Genomic DNA, 22,847 nt, shown 5'->3' with positions numbered 1-22,847 from the left:
AATCTGATAAAACTTATGACCAAGTTGGTTTTACCAAGAAATGTAAGTTTGTTTTAACACTTGATAATCAATGTAATTTTTCATATTAAGACTATATATAAAATATGATCTCAAGAAATAGACAAAATATTTCATAAAATTCAACATCCATTTATGTTAAAAGCCTCCAGAAAAATAGATATTAAGCAACCTTTATCAATCTGATGAAAAGCACCTACAAACTCTCTAGCTAAGAACATTCTTAATGTGAAAGACTGACTGTTTTCCCTGTAACACTGAAACAATACAAGGATGACTGGTCTCTCAATTCCTATTCAACATCCTACTGATGTTTTTACCAAATGAAATAATTCAAAAGGAGCCAAATCATGAAGAAGCTCCCACTCACAATTGCTGCAACGGGAATAAAATACCTAGGAATACTGCCAACAAAGGACATAAAGGACCTCTTCAAAGAGAACTACAAACCACTGCACAAGGAAATAAGAGAAGACACAAACAAATAGAAAAACATTCCATCCTCATGGATGGGAAGATTCAATATCATGAAAATGGCCATACTGCCCAAAGTAATTTATAGATTCAACATTGTTCTCATCAAACTACCTTTGACATTCTTCACAGTATTAGAAAAAACTACTTTAAAATTCATATGGAACCAAGAAGGAGTTCATATAGCCAAGATAATTCTAAGCAAAAAGAACAAAGCTGAAGGCATCATGATACCTGACTTCAAACTATACTACATGGCTACAGTTGGACATGCAGACCAATGGAACAAAACAGAGACCTCAGAAATAACACCACACATCTACAACCATCTGGTCTTTCACAAACCTGACAAAAGCAAGCAATGGGGAAAGGATCTCCTATTCAGTACATGGTTCTGGGAAAACTGACTAGCCATATGCAGAAAACTGAAACTGGACTCCTTCTTTACTCCTTACGGAAAAATTAACTCAAGATAGATTAAAGACTTAATGTAAAACCCAAAACCATAAAACCCCTAGAAGAAAATCTGGGCAATACCATTCAGGACATAGGCATGGGCAAAGAATTCATGATGGAAACACCAAAAGCAATTCCAACAGAACCCAAAATAGACAAATGGGATGTAATTAAGCTAAAGAGATTCTGCACAGCAAAATAAACTAGCATCAGAGTGAATAGGAAACCTACAGAATGAGAGAAAATTTTTGCCATCTACCCATCTGAAAAGGTCTAATATCCAGAATCTACAAGGAACTTAAACAAATTTACAAGAAAAAAAACAACCCCATCAAAAAGTGGGCAAAGGACATGAACAGACACTTCTCAAAAATAAAAAAAGACATTTATGTTGTCAAAAACATATGAAAAAAAGCTCAACATCACTGATCATTAGAGAAATGCAAATCAATACCACAATGAGATACCATCTCATGCCAGTCAGAATGGTGATTATTAAAAAGTCAAGAAACAATAGTTGCTGGCGAGGCGGTGGAGAAACAGGAAATGTTTTTAGACTGCTGGTGGGAATATAAATTAGTTCAACCATTGTGGAAGACAGTGTGATGATTCCTCAAGAATCTAGAACCAGAAATACCATTTGATGCAGTAATCTCAATACTGGGTATATACCCAATATAAATCATTCTACTATAAAGACACATGCACACGTATGTTTATCACAGCACTATTTACAATAGCAAAGACACAAACAATTCAAATGCCCATCCATGATAGACTGGATAAAGACACTATGGTACATATACATCATGGAATACTATACAGCCATAAAAAGGAAGGAGAACAGGTCCTTTGCAGGGACATGGATGAAGCTGGAGGCCATCATCCTCAGCAAACTAACACAGGAACAGAAAACCAAACACTGTATGTTCTCACTCATCAGTGGTAGTTGAACAATGAGAACACATGGACACAGTAAGGGGAATAACACACACCAGGGCCTGTTGGGGGATGGGGGGAGAGGGAGGAGAGCATCAGGACAAATAGCTAATGCATGCAGGGCTTAAAACCTAGGTGATGGGTTGATAGGTGCCACAAGCAACCACAGCACATGTATACCTATGTAACAAACCTGCATGTTCTGCACATGTATCCTTCAACTTAAAGTAAAAAATTAAAAAAGAAAAAAAAAGATAAAAGCCATACCAAATGAAAAGAAATAAATTATCCTATTTCTCTTTGCAGACAAAATGACTGTCTACATAAAAAATCCCAAAGAATCTACAAAAAAAGCTACTGGCAGTAATAAATGATTTTAGCAAGGTCATAGGATACCAGATTAATATAGAAAAATCAATTGTATTTCTCTATACTAGCAGTGATCAAATGAAAATTGAAATTTACAAAACAGCACTATTTACAATAGCATCAAAGCATCAGCTCTTATTAGGAAAAACTTAATGAAAATATATGTAAGATTTACATTTGTACTGAGAAGTACAAATGCTAATGAAAGTAAACAATGTTGATCTAAGGAAATAGAGAACTACACCATGCTCATGGGTTGAAAGATTCAATATTGTTCAGATGTCAGTCTACCCAAATTGATCCACAGATTCAGCACATTCAGAATCAATATTCCCACTGATATATAAATAAATTTATATATAACTATATAAATTTATATAAAACTACATAAATTTATATAAATGTCAATTAAATATACATATTTAATTGACTAACTTTAATTTATACGGAAAATAAAAGTAAAATAGTTAAAACAACTCTGATAAAGAACAAAGACAGAGAACTCACACTACTGGATTTCAAAAACTGATTGTAAAGTTACAGCAATCAAGAATGTGGACCACGTGTGGTGGCTCATGCCTGTAATCCCAGCACTTTGGGAGGCCAAGGCGAGTGGATCACCTGAGGTCAGGACTTCAAGACCAGCCTGGCCAAGATGGCAAAACCCCATCTCTACTAAAATGACATAAATTAGCTGGGCATGGTGGCAGGCGCCTGTAATCCCAGCTACGCAGGAGGCTGAGGCAGGAGAATCGCTTGAACCCGGGAGGCGGAGTTTGCAGTGAGCCAAGATTGCACCACCTCACTCCAGCCTGGGTGACAGAACAAGACTCTGTCTCAAGATAAAGAAAAAAAAAAAAAAAGAATGTGTGGTATCATTGAAAATAGGAGTTGGTAAATATTTTATTGATATACCAGAGAGTAAATATTTTAGCTACGTGGGCCATAGGTTTTCTGTCACAATTCTAGTGCTATTTAATGTGAAAGCACCCATAAACAATATATAAACCAATAAGCATGAGTATGTTCTAATCAAACTTTATAGAAACTAAAGTTTGAATTTCACACAATTTTCAAGTGTCATAAAATATTATTCATCATTTGATTTTCTTATTATTTAAAAATGTAAAAGAAATTTTTAAATTTTGGATCACATAAAAAGAGGCAATGGGGCAGGTTTTGCTAAGCTCTGAATTAAAGACTAAATGTACGATCAATGGGATTCAATTGACCTACTTATATCTGGTCAATTTATTTTCAACAAATACAAGACAATATAGTGGAAAATTGTTAGACTTTTCAATAAATAAGGCTGGAGCAACTGTGCATTAAGCCTGACCAACATGGTGAAACTCTGTCTTTACTAAAAATACAAAAATTAGCCAGCCGTGATGGAGCATGCCTGTAATCCCAGCTACTCAGGAGGCTGAGGCCGGAGAATCGCTTGAACCTGGGAGGCGGAGGTTGCAGTGAGCCAGGATCGCACCATTGCACTCCAGCCTGGGCGACAGAGCGAGTCTCTGTCTCAAGCAAACAGACAAACAAAAAATAGGGCAAAACAAGTCCTCTACTCATAGATCACACCATATAAAAAATAAACTCAAAATTAATCATAGATATAAATATATAACTTTAAACTATAAAACACTTAGAAAAAAAGAATATAATCTGTATAACTTGTATAACTTTGGGTTAGCACAATATACCAATTCTAATATTTAAAGTCAATTCTAATATATGAAATAAATTGGCAATACCAAGCTGATTTAAAGCAACACGAGCTCTCATTCATGGCTAGTGAGAGTGTAAAAATGGTATAATATAAAAATATAAAGCAACATGAACTCTCGTGGTTAGTGAGAATGAAAAATGGTATAACAACTTAGGAAAACAGTTTGGTATTTTCTTATGAACACAGATGTATAATATTCCCTATTAATTCTACTGCATTTAAGTATTTATCAGGGAAAAATGAAAATATATGTTCAAACAAAAACAAATAATGTATGTGAAAGTGCTCATTTATAATTGCCAAAAACCAGACACAACCCAGATATCTATCAAGTAGGGAATAAACAGAATATGGTAAATCCATATAAGGTAATCGGATTTAGCAAGCAAAGAATACATGAAAAAAAAATGGATGCATCTCAAATGCACTGCATTAAACAGAAGCCAGATTTAGAGCTACAATATGGTCCTGATGATTCTGATTACATGACATCCTGGAGAATGAAAACGATGGACATATAAAAATATATCAGTTACTGCAATGGACTTGCAGAGATGAAGGGGAATGACTCCGACAGATCATTCAAGAACTTTTTAGGGTTCTACATCTCCTTTGTAGTGGTGAGTACATGAATGTGTGTGTTTGTCAAATGTTATAAACCAAACATCAAGAAAAGGTGAGTTTTATTCTGACTAGAAATGGCATTACAGTGGCATCACAATTAATCTGACAGGGTGGAGAGAGATAAAGAAAGAGAAAGAGAGAAGGAGAAACCAGGTCTAACCCCATTGGCAATCTTGTGTGTAGAGAGTGAAGAAATGAAAATAGACTAGTAGAGGAAAGTGAGGAGGAAAAGTAAGGTACAAAGAGAATTGACAGTGGTCTCTGGAGAGCTAAAAAAGGAATATAGTCTAAGATGAGATAGACCACTGTGTTATGCTGCTGATAGGGTATGCAAGGAGAATATTAGCCACTGGACTTAGTAATAGACAAGGCACTAAGTGACAGACAAGAACATTTTCAAGATCTGGTGGGTTAATAATGGGTTCAGGAAAAAGGAGACATGTAAATGAAGAGTGAGTAAAGAAAACACTTTTTAAAGAGCTTTACTGTAAACAAGCAGTGGAATGGGACAGGAGCCAGAAGGCATATGAAACCAAAGATTTTGTCCTCTTGTTTTATGATAATACTGAATGCTGGTATGTTGATGTGAATGATCTAACAGAAAGAAAACAACAGTGATGACACAGGACAGGAAAGAATTGCTGAAGTGAAAAACTTGAATAAATGAGAAGAGGTGGGATCCAGGTCATAATGTAGTCCAGAAGAATTAGAAAAGAAGATACAGATCAGGGAGAATCTGAGAAGTCTTGTTTTCAAGATAAGGCTGATTCTTGCTCAAGGTGGCCTGTCTAATTTGGAAAAGGATTCCACTGGGTATTGCAAGGTAATGCCAGAGGTTACAAGTAGTGGTATGAAGTGCCAAAGAAATGAGGTAATGAGACCTAGATTCGAGGTCTGGGTAATAGACAAGGAATTTATATTCAGGAAAAACCTGAAAAGATAATCAAGAAATTCAAGAGATGGGGAAAGTACATTTGAAGGGGTATAGGGAAGTAGGCTGTGCTCAGAAAGGTAGACAGGAGGCTTACCCATAGGCACTTGGAGTTATAGTACGAAATTTAATGTTACAATCTCTGGATTTGAACCAATAATCAACTGTGAATCACACCTAGCCAAGCCTCCTATATAATGTCAGGCTTTGCCAAGATTGACTAAGAAATTAGGAGACCCCGGGCCTGCTATTTGAAGGTTAAGTGTGACTATAGCTAATAAAACTGCAGTTGGTAGCAGTATTAAGAAAAATATTTATTTACTTGGTTCTATTTGTTTTAATGGATATTTAAAATATGCACAAAGTGCAAGTGGATTGATTTTGAGTGTCATTAATTCTTTGCTAGACCATTGAAGGAAAATGGCAGGCACAGAAACTATGGAACCGTAACAGATAAATCCTTTCTGAATCCAGTATTAAGCCATTCTTAAATGTTATTCTTATTCCATGTTAAATCCCACATATTTTTCCCCTTTTGAACAGCTCATTGAAATGATGGAACTTATTGGAGGAAAATGTGATTCAATAAGTGAAAGTTTATTCTACGTCTGACTTTTCAGGAAGACTAAAGCCTCATTTATACCTTATCATAGGTTGTAAAGTGCTTTCAAATATTTGACATGCTATTCTCACAATGAAATGATTTTTTCCTCATTTTACAAATGCAGATGTTAAGGCCTAGAGAGATGAACTGCTTTGCTTTAAAATACCCAGCTAATAACAGAGCCAGAGCAAAACTCCAGGCATTCTACATTCAAATCTAATGATAGTTCTGCTATGTCTGTACATAACATCATTGACCAATCATTGCAAATGTGTGGGTTATGCGCACAGAAAATTTGCATTCCCAGTGCTTGTTGCCAAATACTATTTGGTGGAATGTGTCTGAGGAGTTCGTATTTTAACTTTTTCAACCTATCTGAAGATCCTATCCATCATACAGATTCATTCAGCTCCACACAGTGGCACACAGGGTCGTTTGGGAGCTTCCATTAGGAAGTGCCCTTCTGCAAACTGTGCCTAACCACAGAGCCCTGAGGAAATAGTGTGTAATGAAAACAACACAAGTCTTGAAACAAGGAAGCATCATGGCAATGCCTGCTCTGCCACTCTCCTGCCAAATGGCCTTCAGCAACTTAAGTCATCTCTCTCTGAGCCTGTTTTCTAATTTCTAAGAAACTGACCTAACCTACAGAATTGTTATGAAGATGAGAACATACCACACTCAGCCAAAGCTGTTTCTTACAATGACCAAAAATAAAGCTTTAGAAACTAAAGTGTGGCATATATATATATATATGCACACACACGCACATATATATGGATAAAAAAATCACAATTGAAAGAATGTGGTAAAAAGCAAACGAGCTCTGCAATTCATCTGTAAGTTCTTTTGGTTTAAAATTTCATTTTAATTTTGGCACAACATTAGCAATCCATTGAAAATATTCTGAAATAACTCATATTCAGAGTTATTAAAGAAAGTTGATGGGTTTCACGCGCACGCGCACACACGCACACACACATACACCCACCCCTGCAGGTTGTGCGTTTTAGCAGACCTAAATGTAAACTTCTGGAATCCAAAATAAACTCCAAGTTGGTGATATCTAAAATTAACCCCAGTATGTTACTGTCTGCAAAAAAGAACTGTGAGAAAGTCTGTTCAGAGGATAATGATAGTGACTCAAATCCAGCTTGGAAGCGAGGCCTTCTGTGGGAGACAGAAGATGAAGGGTAATGTGGGGTGATGTCCTGACAAGAGCAAGCCGGAGTGTCACTCCAACTGAAGCTCATTCTTTTTACCCCAAAGCCTGAACCTGATCATTGTCCCTCTCACACGAGGCTTTACTGGATGCACCATGCCTCTTCTTTGCAGAGTTCTTTAACTGGCTTAAGACACTTCAATTTTGCAAGTTGAGTTGAGGACACCTGGTAATGAATGATTCAAGACACACAGGTGGCCCAGGACTGGGCCTGGCAGGCGTATTCCTGGAACGGCGCCCCCGTGAGGATCCTATATGCAGAGGGAGAGCAAGCCAGTAGTTAGATTCTTGCTTAGTCAATTATGCATAATGGCTGTCAGTCAAGTTCTCCTGTTTGTGTCCTTGCAAAACCTGGGGAGGGGAGGAACCAAGGCTGTGATGTGTTTAAGGGTAGCACTCTTACTTTAGTGGAAGCAGCTGCAGCCCAAGACTCGCAAGCTGAGTCTTCTCTCTGTAAACAGAAAATTCTGTTCATTGTCATATACAGAACCAAGTCCTTAGGGAGACTACAATAAGATCTTCGGGATGCTCATTTGTCTCTCAGCCTGAATTTCCTGCAAATTTTCTACATGCGTTGGGTGCTTCAACAATGGAGGGTGACTGTTAAAGGTTGAATTGTGTCCCCCGAAATTCATATGTTGAAGTCTTACCACCAAATACCGCAGAATAGGACCATATTTGGAAATAGTGTCATTACAGATATATTTAGTTATGATGGGGTTGTACTGGAGTAGAGCAGGCCTCTAATCCAAGACTACAGTGTCTTTATAAGGAGGGGAAATTTAGACACAGAGACACCCACACGAAGAGAATACTATGTGAAAATGAAGGGGGCAAGGATTGCGGTGATGCTCCTAACAAGTTAAGAAATACAGAAGATTGCCAGAAAACCATCAGAAGCCAGGGAAGAGGCACATAACTGATTTTCCCTCAAAATCTTCATAAGGAGCCAACCTTACTGACACCTTGATCTGGAACTTCTGGCCTCTGGAACTGTGAAAAAATACAATTCTGTTATTTAAGCAACCCAATCTGTAGTCCTTTGTGATGGCAGCCCTAGCAAATTAACAGAATTGTTTTGGCCTCCAAAAAGGGATATTCTCAAATTCTAGCATTTGCACATGTGTTTCCAGATCAGCAGAGAGTTTAGGGAACAAGGTTTGGAGCCAGACAGAAGTGGCTGTGATTTCCAGCTTGACCACTTTCTGATTGTGCCATTCTAAACAAGATACTTTGGAGTGTCTGCTTGGAAATTTTGAATCATAGTGGTTAACATTATGGCCTTGGGCTTCACAAAGATCTGGTTGCAAATTCCAGCCATTCACCCGCTGAGTAGCCCAGGTATGTTACTTTTCCTGAATGTGTTCTTGTTCTTATAAACAGTACAATACTTACTTTCCAGGAGGCTTATGAGGATTCAATGTCATAATGCACAGACATCTCAAACTTGCTACTCTGGCATCATCATTACTCATAAGAAGGAAGCAGGGATTATGTTCTCCTGGGATTCATTTCTCTTCTGCTTTCTCTGGACTACTATGTTTATCCTGCAGATTCCATAGAAGGGTGGCCTTCTCAAGAAAGCCTTGCCAGTCTGGTCAGCTGTGACCTATCATTTCACAATAGCTTATTCCTAAGAAGTGCATGCACCCACACTCGCGCCCACCCATGGACACTCATATTAACCTGTGTTTAAGTAGCTTACGTACATGCATACTCTCTCTGCTAGACAATGTCTTTTGAGGCAGAGACTTTTTTCATTTCCATATATTAGCTTTTTACATAATAGGTTCTCATTAAATATATGATGAAGAGATAAATGAATGAACAAATGAATGAATGAATAGCAAGCTTCCAAGTAAGTTTTAAGAGAGAGTTCTATTTTTCTATTCTTTTCCAAATATCTGTGGCTGTTTCTTCCTGCTGCTGCTGCTGCATGGCACTCTAAGGAAGGGAAATTTGAAAAAAAGATGCCTTCCAGGGGTGGGAAAGACACTGGTCAGAAGAGCCAAAGTGGATTCTGGGTAACGTATCCCTTACAGGTGGTTAGATCTTTTACGTTACAGTACCCTACCTTTATGAAACAGTCTTGCAAATGCTATCTCACTTAAATACCACATCATTCTACTAGATAGGCCAGAAGGACATTACTTCTCCATGTACCAGTGAGGAAACTGAGGCATATGACTTCCCCAGAATTACATAAGTTAAACAGAGACAGAGCCAAGTCAAGAACACAGTCTTCTAAGATGGCCTCATTTTTGACTTTTCTTCTTACTAAAACTTGCTGACTTTGATTTCATATGGCTGATTTCTAAAATAAGGACTTAGTTAGGCTTCTAACTGAGACCATTCAATAGATGTCTTAGTAAAAGTCATCATGTGTGGGTTCTAAGGACTGGTTTCCTGGGAACAATATGCCCTTCGAAGATAGGAACCTAAACATAACTCATTCAAGCGGAGGATGAAACCTTCAGGGCTGTAAAGCAAGATTCTAGATCAGAACATCAGGTGGAGAGTAAAAGATACTTCCATGAAATCCTAATGATGGTCCTAGCTCTGAATTGTTACTTGGTTGATAATTTTCTTATCTCTCTGAGTCTCAGGGTTCTTATCTGCAAAATGGAAATATTATCTGCTCTAATTCAGAGTTCATGACAATCAATTGTGATACGGAAAATGAAGAGCACCCCAAAAGTCTGTAGCAGATATGTAAAAGCCTATTAACCTTGTCTTAATAACATTAGGTTCTGAAATCAACAAATACAATTAAAATTGTATAAGTTGAAATGACTCCCCAAAGTCTTTTGAGAAGGTACAAAATTAAACACTATTATTTTTTATCTGCCTAACACAATCAGCTTTCCCTCCTGTGTACATACAAATTGGTCTCTGTTTCCTTCAGCATAGAAGACGTTGTTAATTTTCTTCCAAGGAACATGTGAAACAGGAAAAAATATGAATATTTACTATAAGAATCAGACAACTGAAGCAACAGCACATTCCTCTCTCACTTGTCACAATCAAGGACATATTCAGAGGAACAGATAAACGAGGGGTAGAATCACCTGTGCTCTATTCATTGTCATATTCCATCTCTCTCCCTCTTCATTATCATTATTATCAACAGCATGATTATTATCCTGTCATTATATGCCAGCATGCATAGTTTAATCGTATAAATCAAATTTGTGTATGATGCAAGACCATGGTGTTTAGAAATCAGATTCAGAAGCCCTCAGTTGTAATTGAAGTGGCATACTGTGAGATGAGCCTCCAGTCATTATTCAAAATGCAGTGAGTCAGCGCTTCCCATTTTAGATCACACAGCCCAACCCCACCTAAGATATGAATCCTAAGGTTTATAAATTCTACTGTGGTTTAGCTTTCCTGAGATTTTTGACTCAGCTTCCTGCCCTGCCCTCATCAAGTTCTAGTGACATTCCAATGACTGTTAGGGAAGATAAAGTATAGGATCTGAAAAGAGCAGCGTCCAAGGTAGTAATCTACAGGGGTGGATGACTCCCATCTTGGTGGTTGTGCCAGCCAGTTCCATATTTAACACACAATGCATGGGACTTGCAGGTTGGGTGTGTGTGTGTGTGTGTGTGTGTTTCCCTTAAATACACTGAGTCGTATTCACAATCTGAATATAAAGAACTAGCAAACATCTGAACTGAGCTTCTTCGGACCAAGCTAAGACTCAAAGCAATTTTCCTTTTAGTTATTTCAGAATAGATACTGATCAGGTTAACTTTTGCAGACTCTTCCCTACCTTAGGGTGGTAGTATTTCAGTGGGTAGCAGTTAGAGCTCGGGACATACTAGTAAACCAAGGTAGACGCCAGGCTCTGCTCAAAAGCCACCACTGAGAAGAGTTTTCCCCAAAACCACTTTTCTCAACACTGGGCTCTTCCTTCCCCACTCTCTTCACAGGATTCCTGTTTGCTATTTCAGAGATACTATGGTTCTTATAGACAGTGGCAGCAGGCTCCCAAATCTTCTCCTTGCTTTTATTCTCAGCATACTCCAATTTATCTCCCACACTGTAGCCAGAGGTAGCTTTTAAATTGTAAATTTGACAAAGTAATTTACTGCCTAAAACCTGTCAGTGTCTACCAGTTACCTTCAAGACAGCATTCAAAATCCTTAAGAAGCCTTTCAAATCACTTGGCAAGCCAGCCCAAACAACCGTCACGCTTTATCTCTTACCACACCTTCAGAGAGTGCTGCCAGATTAAATTAGAAACAGAGAGGAGGCCAAAAAAAAAAAAAAAAAAGGCAAGAACATATAAAAAACAATTTTCTTTGCTTTCTCTAACTACATGGAACTCACATATAATCTATGTTAAAGCCATTGCCTCTTCACCACAGTTCTGTTAAAGAAGAAAACCCTAAACATCTGACTTTTCACTGGATCATAAACATTTAAAGATGGAAAAGACACAAAGCAGATTTTCTACACCTTTCGTGAAGACCTACACCTCCTTAGCTTTTAGGAATCCAACTTTTTAAAAAATCTGATTTAAAGGTGACTGAGCAACCTGCCCTTGTTTCTATTTTTCAGCGTCCCTCAGAAAATCTGTGTTAGGTTCAGTAAGCATGTAATGAATGCTGAGGCTTTTGTGCCAACCTATTACTGGTGCTGAAATGGATTCTGAGTGAAATTCTGACCTGCTTTATCCAGTATCAGTGAGTGACGGTGTTACATGGTGCAACAGTATCTATGTCTCTCTGCAAAAGGCAGTCTTCAGCTTAAACTCAATTTGGCTAGTGCATGTTCGATTAAAAAAAAAAAGTGGTCCCTGAGCCTCACTACCTTCCTAAAGAGAATCAAGTCACAGAGAGAGAGAGAGAGAGAGAGAGAGAGAGAGAGAGAGAGAGACATACACAGAAGATTGGCAACTACAGTATATAAGGCATTTGGAAAAGACCATATTGGCAGACCGTCTGCAGATATGCAGCTGACAAAGCACACTGTTGCTGAACTATAACAACCAAATAAGCAGAAATGAGACACTGTCTGTAAATAATATCATTAAGCACCAGATAGATTATTATGCTCAAGTGAAATGCACAGTGCATAATTTTTGTTTAATACTGAAAGCATTTCCAATGACTTTCCATCAATGTTCTTATAAAATCTTAAATATTATAGTAGATATATGTAATCTGCTAAGTGATATGAAAGTAAAATATCTGATCCAGACTCCAGAAACTAGAGTGGCCAGGCCAGATACACAGAAGAACTTCTACTTTTGCCTATAGGATGAGATAATATTGCACATTTCATTCATTTAATTCATTCAAAAAATGTGTGTCAAATTTGTAATATATGGCAAAGTACATTCATCAGTGCTGAGGATATATTACTAAGTGAATCAGAAAATAATCAAATTGATATCATAATGGAGCTGACAGATAATTATGAGGCTAAGATTTAAAAGAACAAGATAATTTCTGTGATAAGTACTATAAAGAAAATGAAGTAGGGTATAACAAAGAAAGTGGTGACAGCTAATTTAGATAACAGGGGCAGGGAAGGACAATTGATAAAATAGCATATCAAAAGCCATGGAATGAAGATGCTGCTTAGAATATCAAGTCCAAGAGGGCCAGAGATGCCCATACCCCCAAAATTTCTTGCCAACCCAAAATGAAAAGGAGTAACCATGATTTCCCATTTCACAAAAAGGTATAGAAAAATAGCTAAAAGAATAGAGCCAGGAGACCTGAAATAAATATAATAATGGCAAGTAACTTAACATGTCTACCACACAGTAGACAGTTCCAAAAAAGCTCACAAGTATTTTCTTATTTCTCCTCGTACTGGGAATGTCAAGGAAGTTGCTACTATTATTCTTACTTTACTGATAAGAGAAATGAAGCTCTGAGCTTGATGTATCCTTGGGTTACACAACTAACCAATGGCAATGCAAAGTCTAAAACAAGAGGCAGAAAACTACTACCAGCAGGCTCAATCCAGTTGGCCACCTGCTTTTGAACATAAAGTTTAAAGGGAACACAGCTTCACTCATTCATTTGCCTCCTGTCTATGGCTGCTTTCACATTAGAACAGCAGAGATGAGGAGCTGCAACAGAGATGGTAGGTCTTGCCATGCCTAAACTATTTACTATCTGACTCTTTTTTTTTGCCAATCCTTGATCAAGGTCAAAAGTTTTCTGATTTTGAGTATAATTTACCTTTCTGTACATGACACTGTGTATGAACCTATTTTGTGTTTTTTTTTTTAATCTTGATCCCTAATTGGAAGATTGAGTCCTGGAGGAAAAGAGTATATTTTAAATGTTGCATCCTGGAAAAAAAATGTATATAATAAACATTTATTGTCATCACTTGATTCACAATAAAACAAAGACAACTGAGTCACAAATTTATGTATATATTAAAATTTTTTTTAGCAAATCTAGCTAATCTTTTATATTCTACTTATTTCCTAGTGCATCCAGATTACATTTTCAACACTCAAACAGAAAGACCAGTCCATATTAGCATGATGAAAATCACAGACAAAATTCTTAATCAGGTTTGTCAAAGATCAGATAGTTGTAGATATGTGGCGTTATTTCTGAGGGCTCTGTTCTGTTCCATTGATCTATATCTCTGTTTTGGTACCAGTACAGAAGACATTTATGCAGCCAAAAAACACATGAAAAAATGCTCATCATCACTGGCCATCAGAGAAATACAAATCAAAACCACTATGAGATACCATCTCACACCAGTTAGAATGGCAATCATTAAAAAGTCAGGAAACAACAGGTGCTGGAGAGGATGTGGAGAAATAGGAACACTTTTACACTGTTGGTGGGACTGTAAACTAGTTCAACCATTGTGGAAGTCAGTGTGGCGATTCCTCAGGGATCTAGAACTGGAAATACTATTTGACCCAGCCATCCCATTACTGGGTCAATAAATCATGCTGCTATAAAGACACATGCACACGTATGTTTATTGCGGCATTATTCACAATAGCAAAGACTTGGAACCAACCCAAATGTCCAACAATGATAGACTGGATTAAGAAAATGTGGCACATATACACCATGGAATACTACGCAGCCATAAAAAATGATGAGTTCATGTCCTTTGTAGGGACATGGATGAAATTGGAAATCATCATTCTCAGTAAACTATCACAAGAACAAAAAACCAAACACTGCATATTCTCACTCATAGGTGGGAACTGAACAATGAGATCACATGGACACAGGAAGGGGAATATCACACTCTGGGGACTGTTGTGGGGTGGGGGGAGGGTGGAGGGATAGCATTGGGAGATATACCTAATGCTAGATGACGAGTTAGTGGGTGCAGCGCACCAGCATGGCACATGTATGCATATGTAACTAACCTGCACAATGTGCACATGTACCCTAAAACTTAAAGTATAATAAAAAAAAATTCTTAATCAATGTGTCATTTGTGATAAATACGGTTTCTCAATGCTACAGTAGGAAATGGATGAGAATGGAAAATTAAAGAAAATAACTTAATTTCATGTCTTAGAAAAAAATTAGTTGACCTTTGAGTATTCAATTTCTTCACCAGGACATTAAGCATTCCATAAAATATGATTACTAGTAAAAAAAAAAAAAAAAACTTCCTGAGTTTATCATTAGTTATTTCATTCATTCGTGAGACATAATTAAATGCTACTCTAGCTATCTATTGCTGTATAATAAATTTCTTCGTAACTTAAGGCTTAAAATAATCACAATTATTTATTAGTATCTCTCAAAATTCTGGGGTTTGATTATGTTCAGTTTGGTGCTTCTTACTTTTGTGCATTTTTAGCTAGACAGTGAGTAGTACTGGAGTTATGCCAAAAGCCTCTATAACACATGCCTGCTTGTTGATATTGACTACAGGCAGGGATCAAAACTGGGAATGGAACACCTACCTACAGACTTACCATGTAACTGGTGCATCCTTAAAACAAGGTACCTAGGTTCCAATAGCCACTATCCCAAGAGCAGGAAGTCAAAGTGGCTAAGTTCTTGTAGCCTGGGCCTGAAAGGTGTCAGAGGGTCCCTTTTGCTGTAATCTATTAGAAGCACAGTTACAGAGCCCAGTTTCAAGGGAACATAGACCCCATTGCTCAATAGGAGAAATATCAAAGAATATCACAGTAAGTTTTTAAAACCACTAGAGTCTGGCCACCAACTTCAAATTATGAACGTTTCTCCAAAACGCAAAATATACTCATCCCCAAGATCTCTTAAGAATTTAATAGCATATTGGTGTCAGACTCATCCTCAAGGTTCAAATGTTTTTATTTAAATTAGTTTCCTAAAGTGCAGATCCTTGGCTTCTGGTTTCTCTCAATCTAAAAATGTATAAACTAGAGACAAGTTATCTGACCTCTCCCCCCAATCCCTTCTCCACACCACACTCAAAATCCAACTGTGGAACAGATACAGAATAACTGCTACTGACTCTGTCTTAGAAAAAGAGAGAAAACAGAAAGCACAGACAGTTACTGGTCCATAGCAATTCTGAAATCCAGCCAGACACATGTTCTGTAGGGCCCTTTCCTCCTTCATAACAGTGATTCTCCCAAACTTTGGCTCTGTGCTCAAAGTTCATGGTTCCTTCCCATAAGTCATTCATCATTTTGCATAAGAAAATTGACTCTGCAACGAATGAGACTTCTCAGCCTGCTTCCCAACACCGTTTTCATTTTATACAGCCTCTATTTCTTTTTTTCCAAGTAGGTGGTGCTTCCACCAGAAATTTATTTTAAAATCTTTGTGAATTTTTTTTTACTCTTATGTGGGTTCACTCCATTAGACTTAGCCAAATCACAAAGCTCTTTTAGGAAAGCTCTTCTCCACCTTGAGTTTCTTGTGAAGCTGCTGTTAGAAAATGAATTTTCGGAAGCCCTATTGTTTAATGGAAAGGACCTGTGAGCTGTCAACTTAAAATCCTCAAAGGCTCTTTTAAGTGTTCGAAAGTTTTCATGAGCCACTGCTTAAATTATTATCAGGTGACAGAACATCCTACCCTGTATTTGATCTTTGACCTAAGCCATGTGTAATTTTAGAATCATTTGCTGTCTGGAGAGACTGGGAATTGAAAATAGCTTTAATTTAAAATACAGCAAGTCCCAAACGCTTTTTATTTAGCATTTTACCAACACACTGGCTGGAAATCTTAACTAGATCCTTGAGATCTTTAGTTGAATTTCCTAATTATGACATTAACACAAGTGACAGTGTTGGTAGACTTTCTGCCACCACACAAGTATCCTCTTTCCTCCAGCTTCCAGAAACATTATCCCATTCTTACTTTCCTCTAAGCCCTCTATGACAGCCCTCTTGAAATATTTTAGGCTTTTACTAGCAGCCTCCTCAAGGTCTTTCTATCTCCTCCCCATTGCTCAATCTCAAAGCCAATGTCAATTTTTAAAAATATGGTAGTATACCATATTTAGTATTGTAATCTATTCCAAATATGTTTTTATAACAAATTATCCCGAAGTTAATGTTTCAATTTTAGCCAGACAGTTGCTAAGTACAAGACATTGCAAAGGCCTCTGCACTTTCATGTCCAGCAGGTGATCCACTGGGACTCCAGCTGGAGCTAATAGGTGGATCATTTATACACGGACTCACCATGTAGCTTGGGCTTTCTTCCAGCATGGCTGAGTTCTAAGAGCAAATATTCCAAGAAGCAGGAAGTGAAAAGTGCCTTTCCTTAGGCCTTGACCCCCAAAATGGGCACAGCGTTACTTCTGCCATATTCTATTGGTCAAGAAATAGCTGATCACAGATTCAAGTGGAGGATACATAGACGACACTGCATGTCACATAATTTGGAGGCTGATTTTTTTAAACTTTCACAAGTTGCAACCATCTTTCAGAAACAAATTTATGCACTTTTAGATGTTACAAAAAATAAGGCATGCAGCATCTCTTTGAGATTATAGTCTAAAATAGTTTTGTTTTTTGTTTTGTTTTGTTTTTTACCATGTCAACTTAATTAAGCTGTACCTTTCCAGAATCCCTTTCCTTATACAAATCCAGGTTAGGTTTGACACAAGGAAAGTTAATCATGATGTAGAATGTGGAAGTGAAAGAGCCATTATTACCCAGCAAATGTTGGTTTCTGGTGACAAAAACATTGCATGTTTCCATGTTATTGCTGAGGTTTAGATTTAATTGCTATCATGGGACAGTAGCTGGGCTTGGAGTAGCTCCACCACTTTTACTGGATTTCCTCTTTCATCTTCTCTAAGTCTTGAACCAGATTAGCATTTAGCCTTGTGGCAAAGGACATCATCTTCTTTTCATGGCCAACTGCATTGCTGATGTTGGAGGCAGTGCAGATGTGGGTTCCAGTTTCCCTCATAGGTTTTTTTTTCTTTACAGATTCCAGTTGTTCCTTTCCGTCCCCAATTTCACTTTTATATTTTTTCCCCGACTGATGGCTTTGCTGACCTTCAATGACTTTAGGTCTACTGCCAGATGCTGAAGGAACAACTTTCCTCAGACTTATTCACCTCCCACAATTATGTGTGGCTTACCCCCAAAATCAATCCTCTATTTCATATTACTTATAGTAGGGCTACTTCCCTGGTAGAAACCAAACTAACTCAGGCAGAGAATGATTAGTAAATTATTATATTTATAATACAGAGTAATATGCAAGATATGTAACGGAGTAACTAACTATGGGATGAGCAAAGCTTTCACAGAAGTGACATTTTACCTGGGTCCTTTTCATTTTTCCCAGTGCAGAAAAGACAGGGCATAGTACTCAAGGTAAAACAAACAACACTGATTCCGCTGACTTTCAAGTAATTGACTTTAAATAAATCACCTTTATTGACTGTAGCTGGTAGTTCTTTCAATCACATACTTTGGTTGTCACTAGACTTTTTCTGTTTACCCAGCACATGAACTTCCATTTGGTCAGGAAAGCCTTGGGATTTATAAGACCTTAGTCACAACACCTCCTTCCGATTTTGTTTTTCAGACATCCCTATTGAAAGCTGCTATTTATTCCCGACCATGACATGGCCAGGATAGAGAAATCTTAATAACTTCCTAGTTCTTCCTGAGCTGGCTCTCTGTGACTTTGCCTGATTACCCTATTTGTAGTGCATTCCCAGAACTTCAGGCACACCATGCACAAATGTGTGTGTCTTTATAAAGCACTTTCTCAAAGGGAGCATCAATCATTGCTCAAGCCAAATCTAGAGTGCTGCTGTTATGGAAGAGTTATTTATGAAATTGCCATCCCTGGGCTTCAGCCTCTGTTATGTCTCAACGAAACTGTTGGACTTTGAGCAACTCATATAATTTTCATATGCCTCAATTTCCACAACTGTAAAATGGATAATATTATCCTTAACAAATGCTGTTAGGGTTGCTGGTGGTGTTGGTTGAATTAAAAATGAATTTGAATAAATTAATTGTAAATTAAATATTAAATACAATCTATCCTTTTGTTAAGTATCAGCCTTTGTTTCTATCCATTAGTGTTGGGAAGTAAGAACACTTTGCAACCTAATAGTCTAGAATTTTACTCCTTAATCTCAGAGTTTTATTTCCTCCGGCGCTATTGAGGATTAGAAAGAATGCATGTAACACAGCTCAGACAGTGTCTAATGAATTCATTATAGGTGCTCCATGTAAGAGACCCAACTGGATCTAATGTAAGTTTGAGGTTATTTAAGATTATTTAATATGGTAGAAGGAGTTAGTCCAGGTAATCTAGGAACACTAATACCCTGTCTTTGTTACCTGCTTCTTTCTGCAAACCATTGCTCTAAATAATAAGGCAAATAAAAGGCAGAACAACACTTTACCAGTAGCTGGATCTTTGTCCCAAGCAAGAGATCATAGTGAGGTCTGATGCACTGTGTGGAGACAGAGTTTATTGAGGATTAAGACCAGGGTAGCTTCATTCTCTCTAAGCTTAAACTTGAAACTCACCATCCAAAGTATTTCACAGAGCAGTGATGGAAACAAAGGTGAATACAGAGAAGTAGAAATCATGGGAGAGTGTACTTGTGCCCATGTTAACTCTAGACTGGCCTATGCCTTCCCCTATACAAGCATAAATCTGAATCCAGCATTTACGTAGAAGAATAAAGAAAGTGTACAAAGAAAGAGATGCCTAATATGGCTGGAACACTGTACTATTACTTCTTTGGCACATGGAAAGAAAGGTTCAGAGAAAAACTGTACATAAATATTTCCCAACTTACATATATACTTTAAAGCTATCCCTTAGGAAAATAAGTCCCATTCAGAGGTCCCAGTATTAGGAAATCTTCCCTCACTGGTATCAGGAAAGAGGATAGTGAAATTGTGTATTTAACCATGACTTATTAATAACATTATCTCATGAGTAGTTATCTTCATTCAGTGTTCATTTTATTTATTTGTCTTTGCTGAAACAGACTAAGACCCTTTGGTGTTAATTCTAGTTCTCGTAGTAGGTAGCTGAGCGACCTTGAACAAGGTTTCTCTCTAGCACTCAATTTCTACATCCATAAATAGAAGGTGTGAACCAGATAATTTGTTGTTTCCCTCTCAGATCTAACATTCTGGTAGATAATCTAGTTACCTAGCTTCCTATAAAGTACTTTTAAAAATTAAAAGTGTGTGCTTTTATTCTCTAGGAAATAGTTTTGCATCCCACTCTTTACTTTAAAAATCTCTGCTGCATGATTTTTCTTTTAACAGACACAAAATCTTGGTGATTTTGCGAAAGTTAAAAATAGAGTCCCTTTGAAAATAGGAGAGTCACGCTGTTTATAAATAGCAGGCCTTCAACTCTGCAGCGTATTCGGTCAGAAAGAGCAGTTTAAACTGGAATGAAGAGTAAAAATAAAACTATTTAACTACTTTTGCAAGAGTCTACCAAAGAGATTTAGATCGCCTATGTTAGCTAAAGAAAGGTATGGAGATGAAAAATTAAGGATTACTGGATTTACTGCGAACAGGAAGGTGCATTTTTAATAATTGCCCGTTTTATAAAGAGGAGACTGAGGCTTAGAGGAATTATTTTTTAGGACTGTGCCCAGAAAAGGGGGAGTCTTGAATGAGAACCTGCTTGATTAGGTCTTTCCATTCCATTATCCCACTTCTGAGACAATCGTGGAGCTCTCTGCTTATCCAACCACTTTCTTTTCACTCAGTTGACCCTAAACTCAAATATGAGACTGAAGGCAGGAGGAACTGTTATCGCTGAAGCATGTCTGCAAAGAGGTACCCCATGGATTAATCAATTAGGAAAAATGTATTTACCAGATACTTTATGCATGGTGCTGTGAAATAAACTTTATGAAAAATGCAGTCTTTGGTGTCAGGATGCCTACACACTGTTAAGGCAAGATCTTATCAAATTAAATGTCAGAAATACATAGTGCCCAAAGAAATACATAATATTAATTTCTAAGCATTCACCCAACATAATGTTCCTTGTATCTGGGTGGTAGTATTCCATGAGAATTTTATTTTTATTTCCTTTTTGCTTTTCTGAATATGTGTGACTTTTACAATGTTATAAAATGCACAGTATAAATTCTCCAAGGAGCAGTTTTCTTAGATACAGATATAATCAGCTTCAGACTACAAAGGTATGGTTGCCTGACTATTTTGGTGAATTAGTTTGTAGTGCTTTCAACAGACATTAATGTTTAGAGAAATTTTAGATTTATGGAAAAATTGAGTAAAAATCCAAGGTGTTCTCTTATATACTTTCACACCCGTCCCCTCAGTATCCCCTGTTATTAATATATTGCATTAATAAGGTATATCTGCTGTAATTGATGGACTGATATTGATATATTAAGTTCATACTTCATGTTAGATAGAGTTCACTATTGGTGTTATACATTCCATGGTTTTTGAAAAATGTAAGATGACATGTATCCACCATTATAGTATCATCAGAATAGTTTCATTGCCCTAAACATATCCTGCACTCCACCTTCTCTTCATACCTCCCTCTCTCCCCTGACCCCTGGCAATCACTACTTTTACTGTATTCGTAATTTTGCTTTTTCCAGAATGTCATATAGTTAGAATCATACAATATCCTTTTCAGAATGTTTTCTTTAACTTGGCAATATGCATTTAATGTTTTTCGATGTCTTTTTGTGGCTTCATAGCTCATTACCCTTTATCTCTGAATAATATTCCATCGTATGGATGTACCACATACATTAATTCATGTATTGAAGAACATCTTGGTTACTTCCAAGTTTGGAAAATAAAAGTAAAATTTCCATAAACATATGTGTGCAAGTTTTTGTGTGGACATAAGTTTTCAACTCATTTGAGTGAAACTCAAGGAGCTAAATTGCTAGATTGCATGGTAAGAGTTTCTTTAGTTTCATAAGAAACTGACAAACTTTCTTCTGAAGTGGTTGTACCAATTCTGCATTTGCACCAACAATGAATGAGAATTCCTATTGTTCCACATCCTTAGCTAAAATTGGTAGTGTCAGCGTTTTGAATATAAGCCATTCTAGTAGGGATATCATGGTATCTTATTTTAATTTGCAATTCCCTGATGATATATGATGTTGGGCATCTTTTAAAGTGTTGTTTTTTTTTGTCATCTGCATATCAGTGAGCTGCCTGTTCCCCATTTTTAAGTGGGTTGTTTAATTTTGTATTGTTGAGTTTCAAAGAGTTCTTGGTATAATTTGATTACTAGTCCTTTTTATGTAATAGGCATTTTCAAATATTTTCCAGTTTTTAGTTCATCTTTCTATTCTCTTAACAATTATCTTGCAGAATATAAGTTTTAAACGATTTACTGAAGTCCAACTTATAATGATTTTTTTTCTTTCATGGATTATGCTTCTAATGTTGTATCTAAAAAGTCAGGACCACATTCAAGGTGATCTAGTTTTTCTCTATTGTTATCTTCTGGAATTTACAGTTTTGCATTTTATATTTAGGCCTATGATTGATTTTCAGTTAATTTTTATGAAAGGCAGAAGATCTGTATCTAGATTCTTCTTTTTTCCTATATGTGGATGCCCAGTTGTTCCAGCACCACTTTATTTTTATTATTATTATTATTTTGAGACAAGGCCTTGCTCTGTCACCCAGGCTGGATTGCAATGGCACAATCATAGCCCACAGTAGCTTTGAACTCCTGGGCTCAAGTGATCCTCTCATCTCAGCCTCCCAAGCAACTAGGAACTACAGGCATGTGCCCCCACACCCAGCTATTTGTTTGTTTGTTTTTGCAGAGATGGCATCTTGCTATGTTGGAAACCATCCCAGACCAGGTGTGTGTGTGTGTTGATGGTGTGGAAGGGTGTTCAAATGTATTCTGGAGAGCTGGGAGTACCAAGGGTTCATGGGACTGCTATACTACTTTGTATAATTCAAAGGAAGGAAAGTCTCCAACAATGAAAACACAAAGTACATGGGCAGTTAACGAAGCATCACATTGGTCTAGGGAATGACAAGAAAATGAATTT

At 37.2% G+C, this 22,847-nt stretch overlaps 1 long non-coding RNA gene across 1 annotated transcript in view, besides 1 other annotated feature; it reads right to left on the bottom strand.

Moving 5' to 3' along the window:
- The window catches only part of LOC107986178 (uncharacterized), a 245,894-nt gene that overhangs the window by 80,084 nt on the left and 142,963 nt on the right, over positions 1-22,847 (bottom strand). The window lies entirely within an intron of this gene.
- Positions 10,167-11,366: an enhancer, noted in NCBI's record as "CDK7 strongly-dependent group 2 enhancer chr4:11700041-11701240 (GRCh37/hg19 assembly coordinates)". NCBI's record gives its function as "activates an origin of replication core promoter dependent on BRD2, BRD4, P300/CBP, MED14 and CDK7 cofactors, with strong dependence on CDK7, by STARR-seq in HCT116 cells {active_cell/tissue: HCT116}" and the evidence as "EXISTENCE:reporter gene assay evidence [ECO:0000049][PMID:35650434]".

This window comes from Homo sapiens, chromosome 4 (assembly GCF_000001405.40).
Source record: "Homo sapiens chromosome 4, GRCh38.p14 Primary Assembly".
Taxonomy (NCBI): Eukaryota; Metazoa; Chordata; class Mammalia; order Primates; family Hominidae; genus Homo; species Homo sapiens.
Note: the sequence above shows the minus strand (reverse complement) of the source record. Positions and strands in the feature narration are given on the sequence as shown.